This window comes from Homo sapiens, chromosome 2 (genome assembly GCF_000001405.40).
Source record: "Homo sapiens chromosome 2, GRCh38.p14 Primary Assembly".
NCBI classification, from domain to species: Eukaryota; Metazoa; Chordata; class Mammalia; order Primates; family Hominidae; genus Homo; species Homo sapiens.
The window spans coordinates 221527717-221551059 of record NC_000002.12 but is presented as its reverse complement, the minus strand read 5'-3'; the positions used below and the strand labels follow the sequence as shown (position 1 = coordinate 221551059).

The 23343-nt window shown below is 40.2% G+C and overlaps 1 protein-coding gene and 1 pseudogene across 4 annotated transcripts in view; one reads left to right on the top strand and one right to left on the bottom strand.

Moving 5' to 3' along the window:
- The window catches only part of EPHA4 (EPH receptor A4), a 156176-nt gene that overhangs the window by 23143 nt on the left and 109690 nt on the right, over nt 1-23343 (top strand). The gene's annotated exons all lie outside the window — the stretch shown is intronic.
- TMEM256P2 (transmembrane protein 256 pseudogene 2) lies at nt 18052-18392 on the bottom strand (annotated as a pseudogene).

Below are 23343 nucleotides of genomic sequence, written 5' to 3'. Positions count from 1 at the left end.
ATAGGGTAGATTGTGAACATCCTTATGACCAATTTTAATGGATATAACTTAACTATAATATCAGATCTATTTTCTTAATATCATATTAATTTTAAACACTTCTCAGAGGAGTGAATGTTGAATTTTGTTAAATTTACATATTTATCTTGGTTATGTTGCTTTTTTGGTTTGTTGTATTTTGTATTTATGAGATCTAATATATTAGTAGATTTTTTCTCGTGATAAACCATAAACTCTCTTTGCATTTGTAGAAAAAAAAAAGCCTTATTAGATAGCAGTGAATTTTGACAAATTCTTTTGAATTCAGTTTGTTAATTGAAAACAGTGATTAGGAGCCAGAACTTTGGAATACCAACTGAATTTTAATCTCAGCTCTGCCACTCACTATGTGACTATGGGCTAGTTAGTAAACTTTAGTAATTTGGCTTTCTCTTCTATAAAATGGGAATAATGATACCTATTGCATGGGTATACTTAGTGTTAAATAAGATAATATATCTAAGTCTCAACAAGGAAATGGTGTCTATTAAGTGTTCAGTAAGTGTCACAATTTTTATTGTTTATTTTGAATTTCTAATAAATATCCAGGTGACATTAGTCTACATTCTCTCTCTCTCTCTCTCTCTCTCTCTCTCTCTCTCCCCTTTCCTCATCAGGTTTTGGTACTATAATTGATTTATAAAATTAAAATAGTTTTACATTAAAAAATTAGCACTGTAGAATGTTAATGTGCATGAGAACTATCTTTTCTTTGCAAATTTGAAAGATTCCACCATTAACACTGGCTCTGGACTGTGCACTTTGAATTGGGGCACTTTTCTCTATATTTGCTAGACTTTAATAAAAAGTAAAATAACCACAACAAAGAAACTATCTCTCAGACCTTGTTCAGTTGCTTTTCAAATCACATATGTAGATTTTCCAGCCCAGCGTAGTGGATAAGTTCTTTGATTTGGTATCTTTTTAGCCTCTGTTTCTTTTACGGTGAACAGCAAAGATGACACATTGCTCTCATCCATAATTACATTATTGAAATTTCTCATTACTTGTGTAGTTTTTGTTTGTTTGTTTGTTTGTTTGAGATGGAGTCTCACTCTGCTGCCCAGGCTGGTGCTATCTTGGCTCACTGCAACCTCCCCATCCCTGGTTCAAGCAATTCCCCTGCCTCAGCCTCCCGAGTAGCTGGGATTACAGGCACATGCCACCATGACTGGCTAATTTTTTTTAGTATTTTTAGTAGAGATGGGGTTTCACCATGTTGACCAGGCTAGTCTCGAACTCTTGACCTCAGGCAATCTGCCTGCCTGGGCCCCCCAAAGTGCTGGGATTACAGGCGTGAGCCATGTGAGCCACTGCGCCCGGCTTTGGGCTTTGTGTAGATCTTAAACATGCGAATTAAAGGTAATGGGTTTGTTAAACTCAGTTAGTTCATAGGCATGGTAGAGCTACTCTTTAATCAGGAGCCCTGGCTGCCAATGAGAATTCTGGTTGAGAAAATACTTAATATCCCATTAGGGGAAGCTACTTTTCACTGCAGAGTGAATGTGGATGCAGCCTCTCTGAGCTGTGGTGCTTTACTCTCCTTTTTATTGAGAGACCAACAGCCAGAGAGAGAGGGGAGAGTGAAAGTGAGAGCAAGAATGAGAGAGAGAGACCAAGAAATAACTGTTTGGAGACACATCTGGTGCTCCTTAGATCAGCAACTTTGACACAGCAATTTGTAAATACTTTACATTGGTTTTGAGGATTGGAAAGTTTCATTTTTCACATAACCACACAAATTCTGTGGGCCACAGCAGGCAGGATGAAGACCAGAGGACAAACATTCACTGGCTCAGTATAAAGAAGAACTGTTTAGCATTTTGAACTAGGCAAGAGTAGAGTGTGATGCTTTTTGAGGCATATTTTTTGGATGTGTTCACATTGGCTGCATGACCCCAGGGTACCTAACAGTGAAAGATTGGAGGTCCTGTGTTTCTTAAAAGGAGCACCACTGGCATTTTGGACAGGATGATTCTTCATTCAGTGAAACTCCATGAAGAATGGAGTTTTACAGGACTCCCAAGTGGCTGGGACTACCGGAGTTATAGAGAATTTAGTAGCCCTAGTAGTCCCTGAGCGGTAAATCCTGGTGTCGTCCTCAGTCATTTTGACAGGCCAAAACCTGCCCTTGCATTTTGAAATGTCCTGGGATGGATGCTAATCTCAATTATGAACTTCTAGACTATGAGGTTACTAAGATTCTAAGATAGAATGTTGAGTACTCTGCTTTGGGTATTTCATATATCCTTGGGTAGACAATCTAGGTCTAAGATCTTGTAACATAGAAAAGATGGAGAAGCTCTTCCAACAATCCCAGCTAGCCATCTCTCTTTCTTATTTTTATTTTCCCTAAATCTAAGAGTACGTCATAATATTTCAAAATCAATATCATGTTTCCTCCATGTATTAGTCTGTTCTTGTATTGCTATAAAGAAAGACCTGAGAATGGGTGATTTATTAAAAAAAAAAAGTGGTTTAATTGTCTCATGGTTCTGCAGGCTGTACAGAAAGCATGGCCTCAGCAACTGCTTGGCTTCTGGTGAGGCCTCAGGAAGCTTTTACTCATGTCCCAAGGCAAAGGCGAACAGGCATTCACATGGTGAGAGTGGGAGTGAGAGAGAGAAGGACAACGTCCCAGACTCTTTTTTTTTTTTTGAGACGGACTCTCGCTCTGTCGCCAGGCTGGAGTGCAGTGGTGCGATCTGTGATCTTGGCTCACTGCAACCTTCACCTCCCCAGTTCAAGCGATTCCCCTGCCTCAGCCTCCCAAGTAGCTGGGACTACAGGCATGCGGCGCCACGCCTGGCTAATTTGTCCCAGACCCTTTTAAACAACCAGATCTGTGTGAACTAACTGAGGGAGAACTCAGTCATCACCAAGAGGATGGTGCTAACCCATTCATGAAAGATCTGCCCCCATGATCCGATCACCTCCCACCAGGCCCCACCTCCAACACTGGGAATCACATTTCAACATGAGATTTGGAGGGGAGAAACATCCAAACTATATCACTCAATAAACACAAATTGAAGAAGATAGGAAATATCTTTGGGAAGAAATTATTAACGTTTCACAAAAGTATCTGGAATGATGACCATCAGCCAAGTGCTCTACCAGTTTTAATTTATTTCATCCTTAAACAGCCTTGTAAGTCAGGTACTGTTATTATCCCCATTTTTACACATGGAAAGGCCAGGGCACGAAATGATGGATGTGTTTGGCCATGTATACTGCTTGACAATTTGAACCCAGATAGACTGGCTCCAGCTTACACACTTGAGAACTGTTAGAAAGAAACTTTCCCCCAGTGCCTTGCATTCTTATATAAGGTGAGAAGAGTATTTAAAAATGCCTGAGTGATTGACTTGTTAAGAGTGCCCCGTAATTATTCTAACATTTTTCAGATATTCACCTGCCAATGGGTGGCCCTTGTGTTATTTTGAACGGCCTTACAAAGAGCAAAATGCAGCTGCAAGGCTGGAGACCTTGTCAAAGAGTATATTACTGGGCAAATTATTTTTATTTTGACTCTGTATCACAGCAGAAACAGATGATCCCTTTTCTTTTCAACTTAAGTAATTGGGAAGTTACAAGCATAGACCCAACTTGAGAAAAGACAGAACATCATCTCATCTTAGCAGGAGGACAGCTTAACCAAATGAGAAGTTTTGGATTTCTCTAATGCTTCTGTAATAAATCTAGAGAGATTTAGAAGGAAAATCAATCTTAAAATGAGAATGAACTTTTAATAATCTAAATGTTGGGTATGTGATTTTTAGCTGATTCAGGTAGAATATTTGTTAAACGTTTACAGAATAAAACAATGGCAATGAACCAACCTATTTGGAAAGCAATCCATTTAAGTAATAAGAAGAAAAGGGAAAAAAGATGGAAGAAGCAATTGCTGTTGGAGGTACTTGTCACTTCCTGTAGCATCCACAAGTACTTTCTCACCTTCCCCTGTTGTATTGCTACCTGTGGCTTCAGTGGAAATGACTCACCTTTCAGCTCAGTAGAGCCAGTATATCCTGAATTATGATAGCCACAAAAATTTGTCCCCCCCCTTTTATTTTTTTAGCCTCTTAGCTATTCAGAGTCAGATTTTCTGTTTCTTGTAACACAACCCTAATTAATACAGGAGGCAGCATTATTTTAACAGGCAGACTAGCTATCTATATACAAGTATTTCACATATGAAACACGATGTTTGCCCAGGGTGAGTAGTTGTTTTTCCAAAAGATTTCTTTATAGTACTATAAACAATGGGGACATCTTAAATGGTTCTTTATTGTCTTTTCTCAGCCTTATGGCAAGATAGAACAGTTTGAGTCACTGACAGAGGCAGAGGGAAAGCCTCTTCTAAGCCATAGCTTAGTGAAGCAAAAAAATCTCTCTTTATAGCCTTGGAGAATATTTAAATGGGAAGGACCTTAGAAATCCTTTAGTTAGTTCATGCTTCTCACTTTACAGATGAGGAAACTGAGGCTTAAATTAATAAAATATATAATAAATATCAGATGGGAAGAGGTGGAGGGGAAAAAAGGAAATAAAAGAAAACTGATAAAAATAAAAAAGAAAAAAGTATATAATAAATATTAAAGACTGGTGCTTTAATTCCGGATTTTTTGAGTCTTACTTTCTTGGTAGTGTTAAAGGTAGAATAAGCTCAGAAAACACATGGGCAGCCGAAGGCAAAGTTGCATCTGTGTATCTTTGAAGGAGGCCTTGAGGAGTGAAGTCTCATATACCCAAACCTACTCCCAACTTAAGCCTTCGGAATTAGATCAAACTTGTTCCCTCACCACAATCACTGGGGTTTCAGCTGCCCCCTCCCCCATCCCCATATAGGCTTGAATGCCTGGATATATCGTGTCTATGCCAGTACATTCTGAGGTCTCCATGCCTTTCCCTGAACTGTTGCTTTGCAAGAGTTCACAGTCTAAGGTGATGGGCAGACCTAGAAAAATGATTGTAATATGTTATAACTAAGTTCAGGTAAAGCCCTGGGGGAGGGAGATGCTGAGTCCTGCTGGGGATGAGGTATAAAGGAAGGTTTTTGGAAAATTAAACAATGTTGAACAGCAGTTGACTTTCAACTATAAACCTTTCCTAAGCATCTGCTCAGACAATGGAAAGGCAAAAATGCCTGACATGGCCTTTAAGTGTAGAATCTTGTGGATTAAGCAAGTGCATTCCAGGTCAACAGAAGAGGGACACATTGTGTGCGGGTGGTGTGTGTATGTGAATGTGTGTACTGCCGGGAGCCCACCAATGGATACAGTGGCCATTGGGGTTTAGGGGATGAGTGACAGGGAAAGCTGTAACTTCTAAGTTTTAGGCTTGATCTATTGGTGCATGGTTATTCCATCCTTAGTTTCAGAAAATCCTTGAGGAGGAGGTAATTTTTAAGGGGTAGGGGTTTGGCATGGCAGGATAGAAGGTCAGTTTAATTTATACTTGCTGAAAGTAGAATATATAAACGGCTGAGAGTACTGATCCAGGAAAGGAGGGTGGTCACCTTTTGTTTTGTTTTGTTTTTTGTTTTTTTTAAGATGGAGTCTTGCTCTGTCGCCCAGGCTGGAGTGCAGTGGTGCAGTCTCGGCTCACTGCAACCTCCGCCTCCTGGGTTCACACCATTCTCCTGCCTCAGCCTCCTGAGTAGCTGGGACTATAGGTACCTGCCACCACGCCTGGCTAATTTTTTGTGTTTTTAGTAGAGACGGAGTTTCACCATGTTAGCCAGGAAGGTCTCGATCTCCCGACCTCGTGATCCGCCCACCTCGACCTCGTGATCCGCCCACCTCGGTCTCCCAAAGTGCTGGGATTAAAGGCGTGAGCCACCGCGCCCGGCCATACCTTTTTATTTGCTTTGTAATTCTGAATTTGACTTTGTAGAAAAGCAAGTTTTGAGAGGCTTTATTTAGATTGATACCTTTGGGAGACTTATCAGTCAGTTCAGGCTGGCATAACAAAAAATACAATACTACAGACTGGGAGGCTTAAACAACAGCAATTTATTTTCTCACAGTTCTGGAGGCTGAAGGCTCATGATCAAGGGTTCATCAGGGTTGGTTTTTAGTGAGGCCTCTTTCGTGGCTTGTAGCAGGCTGCCTTCTCACTCTGTCCTCACGTGGTCTTTTTTCTTTAGGGTAGAGTCGAGAGAGCAATCTCTGGGGTCTCTTCCTTTTCTTGTAAGGGTACTAGCCTTATCAGAATAAGATCTCACCTTTATGATTTCATTTAACTTTTATTCACTCCTCATAGGCTCTGTCTCCAAATATAGTCACATTGTGGGGTTAGGGCTTCAACATATACATTTTGGAGGGGGGATACAATTCATTCCCCCCACATTCATGTATTTCTTCTTTTTTCATAAAAGGTTGTGAACAAGCCTGTAGCCTGTAGCGTGGTGGCCTGTAATGGCAGCACTTTGGGAGGCCGATACGCGTGGATCACCTGAGGTCAGGAGTTCGAGACCAGCCTGGCCAAAATGTTGAAACCCCATCTCTACTAAAAATACAAAAATTAGTAGGGCCTGGTGGTGCATGCCTGTAATCCCAGCTACTTGGGAGGCTGAGGCAGGAGAATTGCTTGAATCTGGGAGGTGGAGGTTGCAGTGAGCTGAGATAGTGCCATTGCACTCCAGCCTGGGTGATAGAGTGAGCCTCCATCTCAAAAAAAAGTAAATAAATAAAACATGAAAAAATGAAAGGTTGTGAATATGTGGCAGATCTATAAGACTTAGCCTTTGTATCAAGGTTTCTGTGTTCACACCTGTGTGGGTTTCTTGTGATAACAGTGTAGCTTGGTACGATGATCTGAATATTTATGCCCCCTTCGAATTTATATGTTGAAATCTTAACCACCAAGGTGATGGTATTAGGAAGTAGGGCCTTTGGTTGGCGTTTAGGTCATGAGAGTGGAGCCCTCATGAATATGATTAATGTCCTTATAAAAGGGACCCCAGAGAGCTAGCTAGTCCCCTTTACCATGTCAGGATATAGCAAGAAGGCACTGTCTAGGAGCCAGAAATCGAGCCCTCATCAGACACTGACTTTGCTTTGATCTCGTACTTTCCAGCCTCCAGAACCGTGAAAAATAAATTTCTGTTATTTATAAGTTACCCAGTTTATGATATTTTATTATAGCAGCCCGAACAGATGAAGATACATGGCATCCTAAAGCTTCCACCCCCGTGACCAGGACTTTTCTGGATGTGTGAATCTTGTAGAAGTCACTTTATCCTTCTAAGCCCTGTATTCCTTGTTTGTGAAATGGAGATCATATTATATCTATCAATCATCTATGTGTTTTAGCTGATTAATATTTCACTAGACTTTAACATAATCAGATTTATTATTAATTGTACTGTGGTTTTATTGTGTGCGTAGCTGCTAAGTACAGCATAGAAAGCCTTTCTTAGTAAGGTAACTAAATATGGCTTAGAGCCATGTTGAAGCGAACTTATTTATCATAAGGTTATCAGGTTTAGTAAAAAATCGCAAATTAATTTTGTATGTATAAAAATGCGGAATACAGGCAAGTATAAAGATAGGCAAAATCATCTATAAGCTTACCACATAATGAGAGCCACACTTATTTTGCTTTTTATGCTTCCAGACTTTCTTTGATGTACACATATACACCACAAAATGAGTTAATGATCATGGAGCATGATCATAAAATCTTTTCAGATCAATAAATATAACTTCATAACATTATTTTTAATGGCTACAGAGTTTTCTGTTGCCTGAATGTACCACAGTTTCTTCAACTATCCTCTATTGTTGGACATTTAAGATGCTTTCAGTTTGATGCTTTCAATAATGTTGCCCTTAATATCCTTGGCCAAAGTTTTAAAATGTAGCCTTAATTATTTTCAAATAATTGCCAAGTTGAAAAATATGCATTTTTTAGAAAAGCTTCAGTACATACTGAAAAAGGCTCAGTTTTGAGACACATGCTTCCTGAGCTTGAAACAAACATAACGAGAAAGAGCATACATATAGGATCATTATATGTTAATTTCCATGCAATACTCATTAATGAAATGAACTCCAAAGTGGAGGTAGTTTTACTCATTAGCACTTGCATGTGAGAAAACTTCTTTTAAAGTTTTACTTTCTCAAGGTTTTTTGCCATCAAAGCCTTTCTTTTCATTCTAAAAAATCAATTAATTTTAACACTTGTTTTAAACAAATGTAGGATTCTTTGGCTACATCTGTTGGCAGCTACCCTTTAACATAAAGGGTTATGTATTTTAGTCTCCTGATGCAAATTATCGCCTCTAACTCTACTGCAAGTTTTCCTTCCCACTATTTCAGGAACATCATTGCTTTCGAAACCCAAAGCAAAACTCCCTTTCAAAAAGGCATTGTTAAAGTGAGCTTGATGAGGCTGATTGTTTTTATATAATGGCTTGGACACTGTAGTCTTACAATTTTACAGAATGCCTTTAGGGTTTCACCAACTGGAAAGGAAAATGACTTCATGGATGAAGTATGGACTTTAAAATATTTCCCCATACAGAACCAGGAGTTCAAATCCTTGTAGAGTTGCCTAATTCCCTTTCTTTATGAGTTCAATGCATTGATTGCTGTGTAATCAATTGTTTCTGTGACCTTGAAATTCATCTTGTTAGACTCCTGAGCTCTATCACCTTGAAACTGGGTCATCTAAATGCCTGTACTAGCAGTCCATAAACTTGTTTCCCAGCTGTAACTTATACACCATGGACTATTATTAATAATTATCCAGTTAAGTTTTGCACCTTCTTCTTAAAAAATATTTTTGGCAAGTTATTTTTCCAATTGTTTGCACAGATTGTTGAACAATGCTTCACTCTTTCTTTCTCACCTTTTCCTAGTCCTTTTGCCTCTCCCTTCTCTCCTGCCTACCCTGGCCTCTGGTCTGGAAGACATTGTCATTTAGAAACAGAGTAGACTTTCCAAGGTCAGTGAAACCAGGGATGTATTTTCTTGAAACTAAAGCATTCATTCTGCTTTCTGTAACTCTTCTCTTCAGCAATAAGAGTATAAAATCATATTTTTTTGATTTTTTTCTATTTATTTTATTTATGAAACAAATACTGTTTATTGTAGAACATTTGGAAAATGCAGAGAAAGAAATGCTGCTGCATGCAAAGTAAACCTGAAATCACATTTGGTAACGTCTGGGTGCCTATCCCCTGTCTCATTGCTGTACTTGTAATGTACAAAGTATAAATGCAATGTACAAAATATAAAGAGTATTACTCTGTTTGGGTGGTGGTGCTCCCCTTTTCCTCTCTACTGCTGGTCCAGACCAAGGAAAGTGGTTTGTTGGTAACGTCAGAATCACCTACCTTGCTGGGTAAAGCATTCATTTGCTGTTTTAGATTGCATTTCTGTTTTGCTTGGGTTGAGTACTGTCATCTGTATGCCTGTGGAGTTACAGCTTCCCACACACTTTATTGGCCCACAAACTACAGCTACTTCTGTCCGCCTCCCCGGCTCAACATTCCAGTTCCCCATTAGGACTGGCACCTTCGGCTGTAACTCTGAAATCCTCTATGAATGAGCTCTTGCCATTCCCTTCCCTTAGGGTGCTGCACCCTGTTTCTCAATCCCACAGAATCTTGTTCTGAATCACCAGGAGCTTGAATTTGGCTTACTGATCTGACTCTAATATGGTACCTTCTTAGGGGATCCCCTCGCTGCTTCGGTTCTCTGCCCTCTGCCTAGATGTCCTGAGAGCTTGATGTCATCCCACAGCAAGACTTAGTTCTCAGTCCAGGCAAAGTGGCATATGCCTGTAATCCCAGCACTTTGAGAGGCTGAGATGTGATGATTGCTTAAATCCAGGAGTTCAAGGCCACCCTAAGCAACATAGCAAGACTTTGTCTCTACAGCAAATAAAAAAGTAATTAGTGATGCGTGGTAGTGCATACCTGTGGTCCCAGCTACTCAGGAGGCTGAGGCGGGAGGCTCACCTGAACCCAGGAGTTTGAGGTGGCAGTGAGCTATGATTGTGTCACTGCACTCCAGCCTGGAAGACAGAGTAAGACTCTCTCCCCGCCATACCCTCAAAAAAAAAAAAAAAAAAAAGACAGTTTTCCACAACATTTTGGACACTGAATTGGCCCTACATCAGTTTCTTTTAATGTAATCCCCCGAATTCCAGCTTCTTCCCATCTCCCTCTGTTGCCTATGTCAGTGAGGTTTCGACAAGCCTGTACAGCTCTCCCGTCAAAGATAAACAGTAAGGTCTATGTCATGGAAAGATGAGTCCTTAATAAAAGGGAGTCCTTAGTAGAGGGAATCCTTAATAAAAGAAGCTTCAGCTGTTACCCCTGGCTGGTTATCCAGTTGCAGGGACTGGAATAACTCCTGGTCCCTTATAATTCTGAGGTTATTGCAATTCAACAGTGATTGCCTTTCCTACTTCACAGGCAATGAAAAGTTTCTTACTATGTTCCCAGTCCCGTGCAGAGCATGACTTGGTACAGGTTTTGTGGTGTATTCATCTCTTGAAAAAGGTTGTATCAGTACAGAAAGAGGGGAAAAAATGAGTTGATCAAAACTGGCGTATTTGATCATTTAAGTTGTATTGGCCAAATTATTTGTTACATAGTAATCCTGTTTCCTTCTGTGAGATGTTATGACAACTGAGGACATGCTTTGATTCACTGGCTGCAGTGCAGACTAGTTGGGTGTTCATTTGTTTTGTTTTGCACGTGGAAATTTAAGTAACCACAACAGCAGCAACTGGATATTGTTCTTTGAATAGAGAGAATTCATTGAATTAAATAAGAAAACTGGGCTGGGCGCGGTGGCTCCTGCCTGTAATCTCAGCATTTTGGGAGGACGAGGCGGGCAGATCACTTGAGGTCAGGATTTCGAGACCAGCCTGGCCAACATGGTGAAATTCCATCTCTAGTAAAAATACAAAAAATAGCTGGGCATGGTGGCACACACCTGTAATTCCAGCTACTCAGGAGTCTGTGGTGAGAGGATTGCTTGAACCCAGGAGGCAAAGGTTGCAGTGAGTGGAGATCGTGGTATATTGCACTCCAGCCTGGGCAACAGAGTGAGACTCCATCTCAGAAAAAACAAAAAGAAAAAAGAAAACTGGCTTGTAAAGATGCACAAGTGCCAAGTGCCAATAAATGAGTGTACCAACACATCTTTCTTCTTCTATCTGCTCCCCTCCTCCACACCCTTCCAGCCTTCATTGTATTGGGGGATTACAAGTCTTCCTAAATCTGAGTGTTGATCCTGTGATCACTCCTACTCTGAAACCACCATTGGCTTTTAAATATTAGCTCTTATTTCTACCACTACTACTCCCGTGACTACTCCGCGTTACTGGGGCCCTGTGTCAAAGCTCTAACGTCGGTGAGAGGAGTTTACGCTGTATTTTAGGATAGGTCTCCAAGCTCTTTCTTCAAAGCTCCTTCACTATTCTAAGAATCTAGCTGCTGTGCCTTTTTCTACACAATTTACCCTGCCCCAAAGGCCCTCCTGCTGGTCACAATTTTGCACATTCCACAAGGTTCTACAGAAGCATCATTTTTTTCTTCTCTCTCCTAACTCCCACCAGCATTTTGATTGCGTTCCTTCATGTCACTTATGCTGTGTAATGCCATCTTATCGGACTTGTTAGGGCACAGAGTACAGTATTACTCAGTGAGTAATTGTTCTGCCATTTATTAGCTATTTGACTTCAGGCAAATTAATAATTTTTCTCTGTACTTGGTTTTCTCATATATAAAATGCAAGTAGTAATAGTTCCTACAACATCAGCTTGTCGTCATAAGTAAATACGTGAAACACACATGAACCGTGGCTGGGACGCAGAAATCCTGCAATCAATATTAGCGCTTACTCCTACTCCTGCTACTGCTGCTACTACTCCTGGATTGTCATGGCCCTGTGTCAGGACCTTGAACTTGGTAAAAGGAGTGTAGGCTGGGCTCTAGACCCCACTTTCCCCTTCAGTTGGATACTCTTTTTCAGTGAACAACCTGTACAACTATATATGGCAGTTCTGTACCAGAATCTATGCACTTCCCAGGCTAAGTCTGTATTTATCTTTGCATTCACTATAGCACCTAAAACAATACAGTACATAGAGTCCTATTCAGTCATTGCACGCCACGTGTGATCATTGAAATGAACGAAGAAACAAATGTAAAAAGGAAAATGTAAAAATGTCAATATGGTTTTATTTGTAAGCAGCCCATTGATTTTTGAAGCATACTCACCGAATACATCATGTATTTTCAGTGAGAAAGCAGTATTTGTCACAATACTAGAAATGTCATAAATTTAAAGAGTAATTGAGTCTGAATTTTCTGCAGGTTTATTTACTAGATCAAAGAGTGACTTCAACTTTCAGTGCTTATTTTATTTGCCAGCATAAACTTACAGGTTCAGTCAAATGCCAAGAAAATAAGTTAATAATCTAAATTATGCAGATTCTGGCAAATTCTCTTTCTTTTGGGGGAGAAAAAAAGAGAGAGCTTTGAGTTTTTATCTCACTTCAGCAAATCCAACTGACTATAATAGTAAGAATAAAACTCTAGCAATTAATCTAATAGCTCTAGGCTGCTAGTCATTCCAGAAAAGTGACATTACACAGAATATACTAGTTACTCTCATTGCATGTCATTGATATATAATTCAATTGATTTTCACATTTTTTACACTCCAAAATGAAATACAACTTTTGTCATGTCACCAGATTGGAATTCATTGACAATACATTAACATGCCAAAAATAATATTACACACAAGAATAATGTAGAAATAAATTACAGGTAGAGCAGTATCCCTAAGGAGATTTTCATTTGTGTCCTATAACAGAAGACTTATAACCCTACTCATACATCTGTTTCATCCCACTACGTTTTAGACTCTTCGTTCAATTCAATAAATTACTCATTTTGCCACACACTCAGCACTCTGTCAGTTTTGCTGGGCAGTATACTTACACAAAAGAGTCTGTATAATTCTAAAGTATAACCCCCCCTTTTTTTTTAGCAAACAAATACAGAGACTTTCATGCAAATGAATCCTTGAAAAAGATAGTCTGGATAACTGTAAGGCTGCCACAACTTTTGTGGAAATGTTTTGGAACTGTCTTCTTCAAAATGTCTGGGACCTTCTTTTTATTGATAATCTCCTCCTCCTCCTTCTTCGTCATCGTCATCTTTGTCTTTCTTCTTCCTTCTTTCTTCTTCTTCTTTTCGATGGAATCTCACTCTATTGCCTAGGCTAGAGTGCAATGGCACCATCATAGCTCATTGCAGCCTCCAACTCTTAGGTTCAAATGATCCTCCGGCCTCAGCCTCCTGAGTAGCTAGGGCTACAGGTGTGCACCACTGCACCTTGCTAAATTTTTAATTTTTTGTAGAGATGAGTGGTCTTATTTTGTGGCCCTGGCTAGTCCTAAACTCCTGGCTTCAAGCACTGTTCACCTCCTTGGCCTCCCAAAGTACTTGCATTACAGATGTGAGCCACTGTGCCAGGCCTGGGGCCTTCTTTTTAAATGTGCTTAGTTCTGAACAATTTTGTCCCTTAAGGTGGATTTAATTTTTGGAAATCAAATAATTCACTGACCAGGCTATTGATAAATGAGATCAGCCATACTGGGTAATATTGGGTTTTACTCAAGAACAATGAGTGATTGCAAAGTAACAGACTATTTTTAGGAGTGACTTTTAAATTGCTTTGAGTGTACTTTCAAGAGAAGTATTTGGAGCACTGAGAACATAAGTGGAAGAAGAATGTGGAAGATCTCCAGCATCCTTGGATTTAGCTGTCAATTACAATGCTACTTCCATGAGAGAAGGCTTTGTTTTTTGGGCCTTGCTTGTTTTTTGCAGGACTCTCAGAGCCTAAAACTGAGCCTGACACACAGTTGTTATTGAAAGGAATGAATGAATGGATTAAATGCAACAGTTCACAAATGCATTCAAAGTCCCACGGCATAGAGATTTCTCTCTCTCTCTTTGTTTTAGCCTTTATGGCATTAATTTAAAATAATTTATGTTAAGGTCGCTATGTATTTACCTGATGAGAACTTGGCTTTGTGCTAAGCACTTTATTTTCAGTATTTCATTGTGTCACCATGACTTGGTGAAATAGTGACTGTCATTATCCTCTTTTCATAGATGAGGAAACTAAAGCCCAGAGAAGCTAAGCAGCTTGCCCAAAGTCACACAGCTAATAGGTGAGGAGTCTGGATTCAACCTGCAAAGTCTGGCCACTGACCAAGCCTTCACCCTTAACTACAAATCTGGGCTGCTTTTCAGCACATCTTTGTTGTCCTGATTTGGTCATATTCTCACATTATGTTTCAATCATTCTAAACTGGGTATATAATAACCCCCTTTGAGAGACAAGGGAATTGACCAAAGTACATTGTTTAGAGGGATTTTCTGAAGAATGACTTCATGGATGAAGCATGGACTTATTATTACCTCCTTATGGCCTCTGTCTCCAAATGTAATCACATTGGGGGTTAGGGCTTAATTATTGGGAATTAATGAGGATTTGGGGAAACATCTTTCAAGAATGCCAGGGTCTAGTGCAGAGCATCGTAAGGCCGGTAATCTGGAGGGCAGCCTTCAGTGAGCAGGTTCGCATTCTAGTACAGGGATTAAAAACCATTTCTCATTTAAAGCCCACATTTCCAAAAGGCTTATAATCTTTAGAGGAATACAATACAAGAGGGTGGGAGACTGTTTCTAATTTTTATTCTGAATAATTATCTGATCTGATCATGGACAAGTTCCTTAGGCTGCCACATTAGTTTCCTCATCTAGAAAATAGCTAACTGGACAAGGTCATCCACAGGGTGCCCGGTAGCTCTTAAGTGTCAAAATGAGTGATAAGATAAAGTGCTCTTTTGCCAAAGATAAGAAGGACTATCTTTGTTGACAGTTATCTAGAAAGGCTTCCAAGAATAGGAACTTGGTAAACTGTAGTTAAATAAAGCTGGTAAAAGAGGAATGAATATCCCTTGAGCCAAGAACAGGAGTTAGCTGCCACACCCTGGGGTTGAAGAGACTGGGTAGGTAGGTGGAGCTGAGTTTTGAAAGATTTTTGAAGAGCAGAGGAAGAGTTTGGTCTCTACCCCTGGCTCGTTCATCAGATATTTCTTGATTGCCATCTATCTTCCAGCCATTGAGAGCCATTGATCATGTAAGATTCTTTCCCTACTGGAGTTGGGAAAGATATTTCATCCAACCAAAGGGAATGTGCCCTTGATATGAAGATTTGTAATGTTTACCAAAAAATCTTTGTTCTACCACTTTAGGCATAGAAGAAGAAGATAAGAAAAGCCTCACAGTAAAGTTGACTTGCAGGTTATATTTAAAGGATGATTGTCTTTATTTGAACAAAAGGAGAAAATAACAAATCCGTTGTTTGAAGAGGAAAAAAAACAGAAAAAAAGAAGTGCCTTTGATTTGGCATAATTGATGCTTTATTGCTTTGTAGATAGGTGGTTTAGGGCATTGGACAAAAGACGATAATGTTTATTTAGATTTGGGATTTGGGACTGTTCTAGAAAGTCAATATATGGTTGTTACTTTTAGTAGCTGTAAGAATGGCATAAGATAACTTAGTGGAAGGTAAGTGCTTTCTGAGCTTTTCTGTCTGATGATGAACCCTAGTGGTTGCAAAAATGAGTTTATACCTTAGAATCATTTGAGGTACTGATTACAAATGTACACTTTTAACATCAATCCTCAAGACTTTAGAGTTTGGAGTCTGTGATCTGAATTTTTCACAAGCTCCTAGGTGGTTCTGATTAATTTAGGTTGAGGAACAGCATTTTGGAAGCCACAGGTAAACTTGTGTATTGCCCACACCACTAAGGCTGACTCTGGATGACACCCAGTTGAAAGTGATTTCCAGGTTCCCTTGCTAAGTAAAAGATCCAAGAGAGAGAATAGTGCTGCTTATTTCTTTTTAACTGGATAAGATTGAAAAGGTCTGTGGATCCAATAGCGATGGAGAACGTGCAGAAGCTGCACCCCGAATTGCCGATGAAGTTAATCCCAGACAGCTAGAAATTAGCCAGTATAGCACATATGCTTAGATTGGATGCTGTGAATATATGCTTTCTGGTCAACAAAAAAGTTAAATCATGTAGATGCTCAAGTGAAGAGCACCTCTGTCGACTGGAAAGAGTTGAGTTATTTACCTTTTTTCCCCCAGAAACTGTTTCTTGAGGTGGAAAAGCAACTGGAAGTACAACTACACAGAACTGAAAGGCTATTGAGTTTGATTATGGGCATAAAATTAAATTTTCAGCTAAATGTGACAGCCCTAGTAGAACAAAGAAGAACCAATCAAAAAGTTATTGACTATTGAGACTTTTAGACAGAGCTAACAAATTGACCATGGGTTCCAGGGATAGTCACAGCCTGGAAGTTGCTTATTCTCTTTCTTCTAAAAGGTAGGGAAGTTCACACAACCACAGCCACTGTAGCCAGGCCAGGGAAGAAGGCCAATTTAGGCATTTACCAGCATGTGCAAGATGCAGTTTTTCATCTGAGGGGGTGAGACCTTTTCTAGGTGCCTGTGTTAGAACTTGGAGCACTTGCAGGTAATGAGAACGCATTCCAATACAAGAAAAACCTATTTAGGGCAGTACTGGATATGGATTAGCCAAGAAGATCCACAGATCAAAATAGAATCCAGGGCAGAAACAGAGCAGAGAAATTTCCCAGAGCCACTTATGGGTAAGTGGAACACCAATGATTTACTAATTACAGGCATGTTTTTGCACAAATTCATTTTTTAGTAAACAAGATATGCTTTATGCTACTTGCAGGCCATTCTTAAATCATTCTTTTGGGAATCCTTATAAAGACATCAGTTAAAAATCTCATCTGTTATCCTTCAAGAGAAGTAGTTGGCATGATTTTTGAAATTGAGTCCCTGCCTACCTAGATTCAACAGATTAAATATGAATTATCAGTGGATAATTACCTAGGGCTGTTCTTATATGTATATTTTATTTCCTTAAGTGTGAAGCACATGGAGTGTCACGCAGATGTGGGAAAAGGTAACTCACAAGGATCTTTTGCCCAGAACTCTTCTGGTAGGGCGCTGCTGGCTCTTCCAGTATGCACCCAAGGTGGCAAAGAGTCTGCCTGTCAATGGTATCCAGAAGTGACAGTGGGGATAGCCCTGGAGAAGGTTGTTTGGATTTTCATAAGGGAGAGATTCTCTCTCTGATCTTTATAATCTGAATCCTACCCTCACAGGCTTTTTTTTTTTTTTTTTTTTTTTTTTTGACACTAGTCACAAAATTAACAGTCAGGATGCTTTTGAAATCAGAACAATTTCCCTGGAGGAGGCACAGCCCCCGGTACCATCATTATTATATATGTTTTGAAACTCCATAGACTGGAACTCGTTCAGCGTGCTGTAATCTGTGTGTTTAGAAGCTGTATTGACTTTAGGAGTCACACAGATGGGTGTAGACCCATGTTTCAACATTTTTCTTTCAGGGACACACCTTTGAAATTCTGCTTGGAACATATCAGCTTCCTCCTCCCTCCGAGTCATCAGCCATCTCAGTGAATAGCGCATCTGCATCCTTTATTGATACATACGGGGGCAGGGGTGAGGGCAGTTACTGCCTCTGCCTCTGTTTTCTCATTCAAATATTAGCAAAGGTCCACAAACAGAAATAGAGAAACCAGATTAAAGAGGACAGATTGTATTTATGGTAGGCTGTAACACATTTTGATCAACAACAACAAAAAAGTTTTTGGAGCTATGGGGCTGCCTGATGGTAGGATACATACTGGGTTTATTATAATGCATGTACATTGTTCAATGTAACTTTCCCATCATTTTTATGCCAAGGCCATATGTATGGCTCAGATGAAATGTAACTGGCAATTTTTCATTGTTGTTGTTCTTTATTTACCTTTCTCTTTTAATCATCTCCCTGTTCCAACTAAACAAATCACCCCCAAAAGCCAGTGATTAAACACAAGTGAGTTCAAAGAGCCAAGGCAAGTCTGCCCAAGAGTGGCCGACTCCCCCTACAGAAGGCCAAGTCTGCCAATTGCAGTCTTCACTCAGAGCCTGGTAGTAAAACTGCTGAGAATAAGGTGGTTTCAGAGGCAAACAGTCACCTGGCCCAGAGGGCTTCTGCAATGGAGCCCCCTCAGAAGGGCTAGGCTATGTGAGAAGTGGTGGGTGTTGGCCGTGTCAAACAGCTCCTTCCAGTAGGCATCCAGGAACTGAGTGGTGTGCACCCCTTAGGAGGCCAAGCCTAAGGCACCAGCTACAGACAAGGTGCCCAGGTGGCAGAATGCAGCCCCTGGCCCGGCCAAGGCTGTGTGGATCTATAACAGACAATTTTGGCATGACTGCATTGACTTTCACTCTGGTCTTCTGGGTTCTAAAATGTTGGTTCCTTAAGTAGGAACTAAAAGTTAATATCTGCCCTTGTGATGACTAGGAATTTGGTTAATTCATGTGCCTGCTTAGCAAATTAAAATGGCCAGTAATCAGAACTAGAATGTTAAATCTCAACTGATCTGAGTTTTTCTCATCTTTTGATAGAATAAATTGAACTATCTGGCTGGGCACAGTGGCTCACACCTGTCATCCCAGCAGTTTGGGAGGCTAAGGCAGTCAGATTACCTGAGTTCAGGAGTTTTAGACCAGTCTGGCCATTATGGTGAAACCCCGTCTCTACTAAAAATACAAAAATTAGCCACGCATGGCAGCACGTGCCTATAATCCCAGCTACTCTGGAGGCTGAGGCAGGAGAATTGCTTGAACCCTGGAGGCAGAGCTTGCAGTGAGCCAAGATCATGCCACTGCACTCCAGCCTGGGCGACAGAGTGAGACCCTGTCTCAAAAAAAAAAAAAAGAATAAATTGAAATATCTGTGTGACAATTGCCTGGTGTTTGAAATTCCCCTTTTCAAACATCCCAGCATATTTGGTTTGTCTCAGTGAGCTCTCCTTTGAAAGAGCACTGGCTACTCCCTTGGTAAAAGAAAGGGGTCAGTGATGGGGCTGCAGGTCCTTGTTCCTGACACGTTTTCCTTGGGAAATTCAGTACAAGGTATTTCGTCTCTCATTCAGTCATCCCTTTGCTCAGCAAATATTTGTCTTTAAAGACTCTCACGTTCTCTGAGAAAAAAATCATGGCCTTCGCACAAAAACAAGAAGATTCTATTTAGATTTGAATAACTAATGTAAACAATAAAAATAAAATAGACATTTACATATTTTATCTATATCTAGATACATAGAAATTAGGCCGAATGTATGTGTGAGACAGATAGATGAGTATAACTGTTTTCATCCTATTTATATTGGCTTTGTTCTTCAAAGAAAAAAAAAGCTTTTTAGATACTACACCAATGAAGAAAAAGGTATCATCTAGAATCAGCCCTGAGATGAAAAAGAAGTGTGCTTATTTATATAGGAAGTAGCTTTGCATACTTTTCCTTTCTGTTATTGTTCAATCTTGAATTAAACTGTCTTTTATTTTTCTACTTCCATTTGTGATTACTATGAAATTTCTGCCTAAGGGCTGCCAGGAATTTTGTAAAAATTAAACAATACAAAATTCTTTGAAAGAGGATTTTGAGTCCCAGGCATGCTGACTTTTTAAGCTCAAAAAGTACGCGTGGCTTTTGCAAGCAGAAGCAAGTCCTAATGCTTTGAAGAATGTAAAATATAATCAGTATTTCAGAGGCATTGAGGTGGTTAATCTATTAATCTATACTAGGGTAATAAACCTACCAGTATAAACATCTGCTAACTAGAATTTGGAGCTCTCACCTTACCTTAGAGAGAAAGTTTAACCTAATTCTGCAGTTTCAATACTAATCATGGGTTAGATTTTTTTCATTGTAGATCTCACTTGTCCTTGCTTTCTTGAGTAGTCTTAGAGCGTATTTGTTTGCTGCAATTAAAGCAGCCGTAGTCTGATTATTTTCTTAACTTGATTGTAACTGGGTACACTTGGCTGATCATGTGACTCTCTAAATTAGCTGTTATAAGTTAATTCCCAAGCCTTTGAGGTGTCAACTCTGTCCTCAGCCACTTAGAGCTAATATTTGAAGGACCTCCAGGGTACTTGGAGGGGGAGGTGGTGGTGCTTCAAGAATCCCATTTGCCCACAGCACAGTGGAGGAGTACGATCTGGGCTGTGTAGGAGGTGCTGATTTTTGGACTGAAAAAGCACTGACCCCCTGCAGACCACGATGTCCTGCTGTGATTCTTCCCTTGTTTGAGGCAGGGCTACAGATACACCCCATGGAGCCAGAGAACAGAATTCCATGTGTCCCCCAAACCCAAATCATATACCCAAAGCCCTCAGCCCTCAGATTTAAGAATTCCTAGCCTAGTAGCTTTTTCGGGTGGTTTCTCTGCTCCCAAGAAGGATGTCCAGGAGGTCCATGGGCCCCCAGTCCCCCTACTTCTTGCAGGGTGCTGCCCTGTGGCAGAGCCACCTCTACCTTCATGCCTGCTGCAGGGATTCACCCATCCTTAAGTCCTCCAGCCCGTTGCTGGTTTGCTCCATTCTAGAATTTGCTTCCTACTGCGCGCAAATGTTTCATGTTAGAGAATGGTAACTGCCATCTCTATAATGGTTAATGCCGAACATGACTGCAGATGAAAGTAACAGTGTGATCACATCCTTTCTCTTCCTGTTCTGTGGCATGAGTCAGTCTCTTTGCCTTAATGTTTATACAGATCCTTAATAACAAATAACAGCTGATGGCGACTTGCTGAGACATGTACAATAAGGAAAGAAATTACATCGTAAAAGATTTGGGCTTTGTCCCAATTTTTTTTTTAAGAGAAAAAAAAAAAAGCAGGGAGAGAGAACCTTGTTCTAATAACCAGTTTGTGCAACAATGTTCCTTTTTTCAAATCTAATGAGATCTGATCCCCACAAGTATTATGATTTATTACCTGCCCCTACTGGACTGTTTGCGTTGGGTGTTTATTATTTGGATATTCGGTTAACATAACACTTGAAATAATTTCGCTTTCTGAATCTGCTCTTCTCTCTTTTTCTTGGGTGGTTTTGTGGTAGGTCGGACATCCTCAGATGAAAATAACTCACAAGAGAGCCCTTTTTCTGTTATCAGTGTTCTGTCTTCATGTCCAGGAAAATAGACTCGTGGGTTTCCTCAAATGTAGGGGAAAAACAAAAGTTGTTTGCTTTGTGTCTAAAAGTTCCATGGTGTCACACCTAGAAACCCTCGGTGTTGGAGACTGGTGCTTCATACTCCATTGTCAGCAACTTTGCAGAAAGTGTTGTACTAAAGCTACTACAGTGAGCAAGCTTATGCCCTTCAGCGTTGTCTCAAATTTTGTTTTTAAGTCCAGGCGTAAAGATAACATGTGATAATGACCTCTCCATTTATTTGGAGTCACAGATTTGATACTGGAGGATCTCAAAGCATTAGGTCAAAATAATTAGCTCTGTCTGTAGAATAATCAACTCCCTCTCTGCCTGGATGCAACAGATTTGTAACCTTGTTTTAAAAGCTAGGCGTTTCCATTGGTACAAGTCAGCGTGTTTAGGTGTGGAGAGAGTTGGCAGCCTGCAGGGAGGGGTGGCTGTTTCCCAGAAGTCACAATTCCTGGTGGAGAGAGGAAGCTGTCTACTCAGTTTCCCTCCTGTGCTTTGTGAATGGTGACCGCCCCTTCTCCCAGCCTCTCCAGCCTTCCTCAAGGTGGGGCAAAATCAGCCCCCTGCAGCAAAGTCCCTTTCCTTCCTTCCTGTGGAGACCTGGAATTTTTCAGTGCTTTCACTACTGAACATTTCTGAAATCTTTTTTTTTCTGATGTCAAGCAACAGTGTCATGTATGTAAATTATAGAAAATTTAGAAAGAATAGACTATTGCAGTAAAGGAAACCATGCACAATCCTCTTACTCATGGAAAACATCTATTACTATATTGTATGTACTCTTGGAGTGGTTTTTAAAATTTTTCTTTAAAACTTTTTTTGGCATATACGTAGTTTTTTGTTGTTGTTGTTGTTGTTTTGTTTTGTTTTAATGATCCATGCATTTGATGTATTTGAGACCTGTAAATGCCACTTTGATCTTTATCTGGTTGTGTTAGAGAGTATGTCGGACAGAGGATAAGAGCATGCCTTTAGTTGTGTGGGCCATTTATTTATTTGAAATCTGGAATGTAGCCTATTTGGTGATGGCACAGGAGGGCATGGAACCCAGAAGCCAAGGCTAAAAAATGTATAGAAGTGGCATCAGAGGATGGGGAAATGGTGTCAGGGAAGCAGCACAGGACCTAGAATCAGAAAAGCCAGTTTCTGCTCCTGCTGGCTGGGTAATCTCCCTGAAACTCAGTTTCCTAATCTGGGAAAAAGGAGAACTCCTACCTTACCAGTTGTATTGATGATTCAGTTAATTAAATGAGGTACTGTTTAGGAAAATGCTTTCTAAACAAGCACTGCAAGACTCAGATAATAATATTATAATGAAAAAGTTGTTCAGACTTGGCTGTGGTGATTCAAAGGGAATAAGATTAAGGTGAGCAGTTGGTGGCTGGGATTTATAGTCTTATGTCCATGAGCAGAGAAAACGTTGAATTGGCTGCTCGAATTTTGTTGTTATTGCTGTTGCTGATGCATCTAATGGTTAATATACACTTCCTGTTTAAATGGTTACCGAGCCTGGATTATTACTAGGGAGGCAGCGTAGCAAGGCTAGTATTTGCTATTTTATGCTGGTCACCCTGTCTTCTTGAGTCTGTGTATTTTTTACTCAATGAGTACATTCTCCCACAATGCTAATATGTTTGCTCTTTCACCTAAGAGACGCTTATCAGACTTTTACTATGGATTACAGGCCTTTGTATCAGGAATCTTGCTGCATTTACACAAGAGAGAATGAGACAGGCATAACTCTATGTTTTAAACAACAGATAAGGTTTGTCTGCTGTGTGCACAGAGAAGGAAGGGGAGGGGAAACGGCGGGGTTGGGGGTGGTTAGGTAGGGGTGGGGCCTGGGAAAGATGTATAAACACTTTTAACTTGTGAAAGAATGTCTTTGTCTCTGCTCATGAGCCTCAGAAATTGGCGAAATATTAAAAGGAGGGGTTTGCAGGGCAGCTTGTGAGCTCTGGAGTCAGATTGCCTTGGACTCCACCCTGCTCCGACAGTTCCTTAGCCATGTGACAGATAAGTTCCCTCATCTCTTTGTTCCTCAATTTCCTCTTCTGTAAAATGGTAATAATAATACAATGAACCTCATCGGGCTATTGTGAGATAAATATAAACCGCTGAT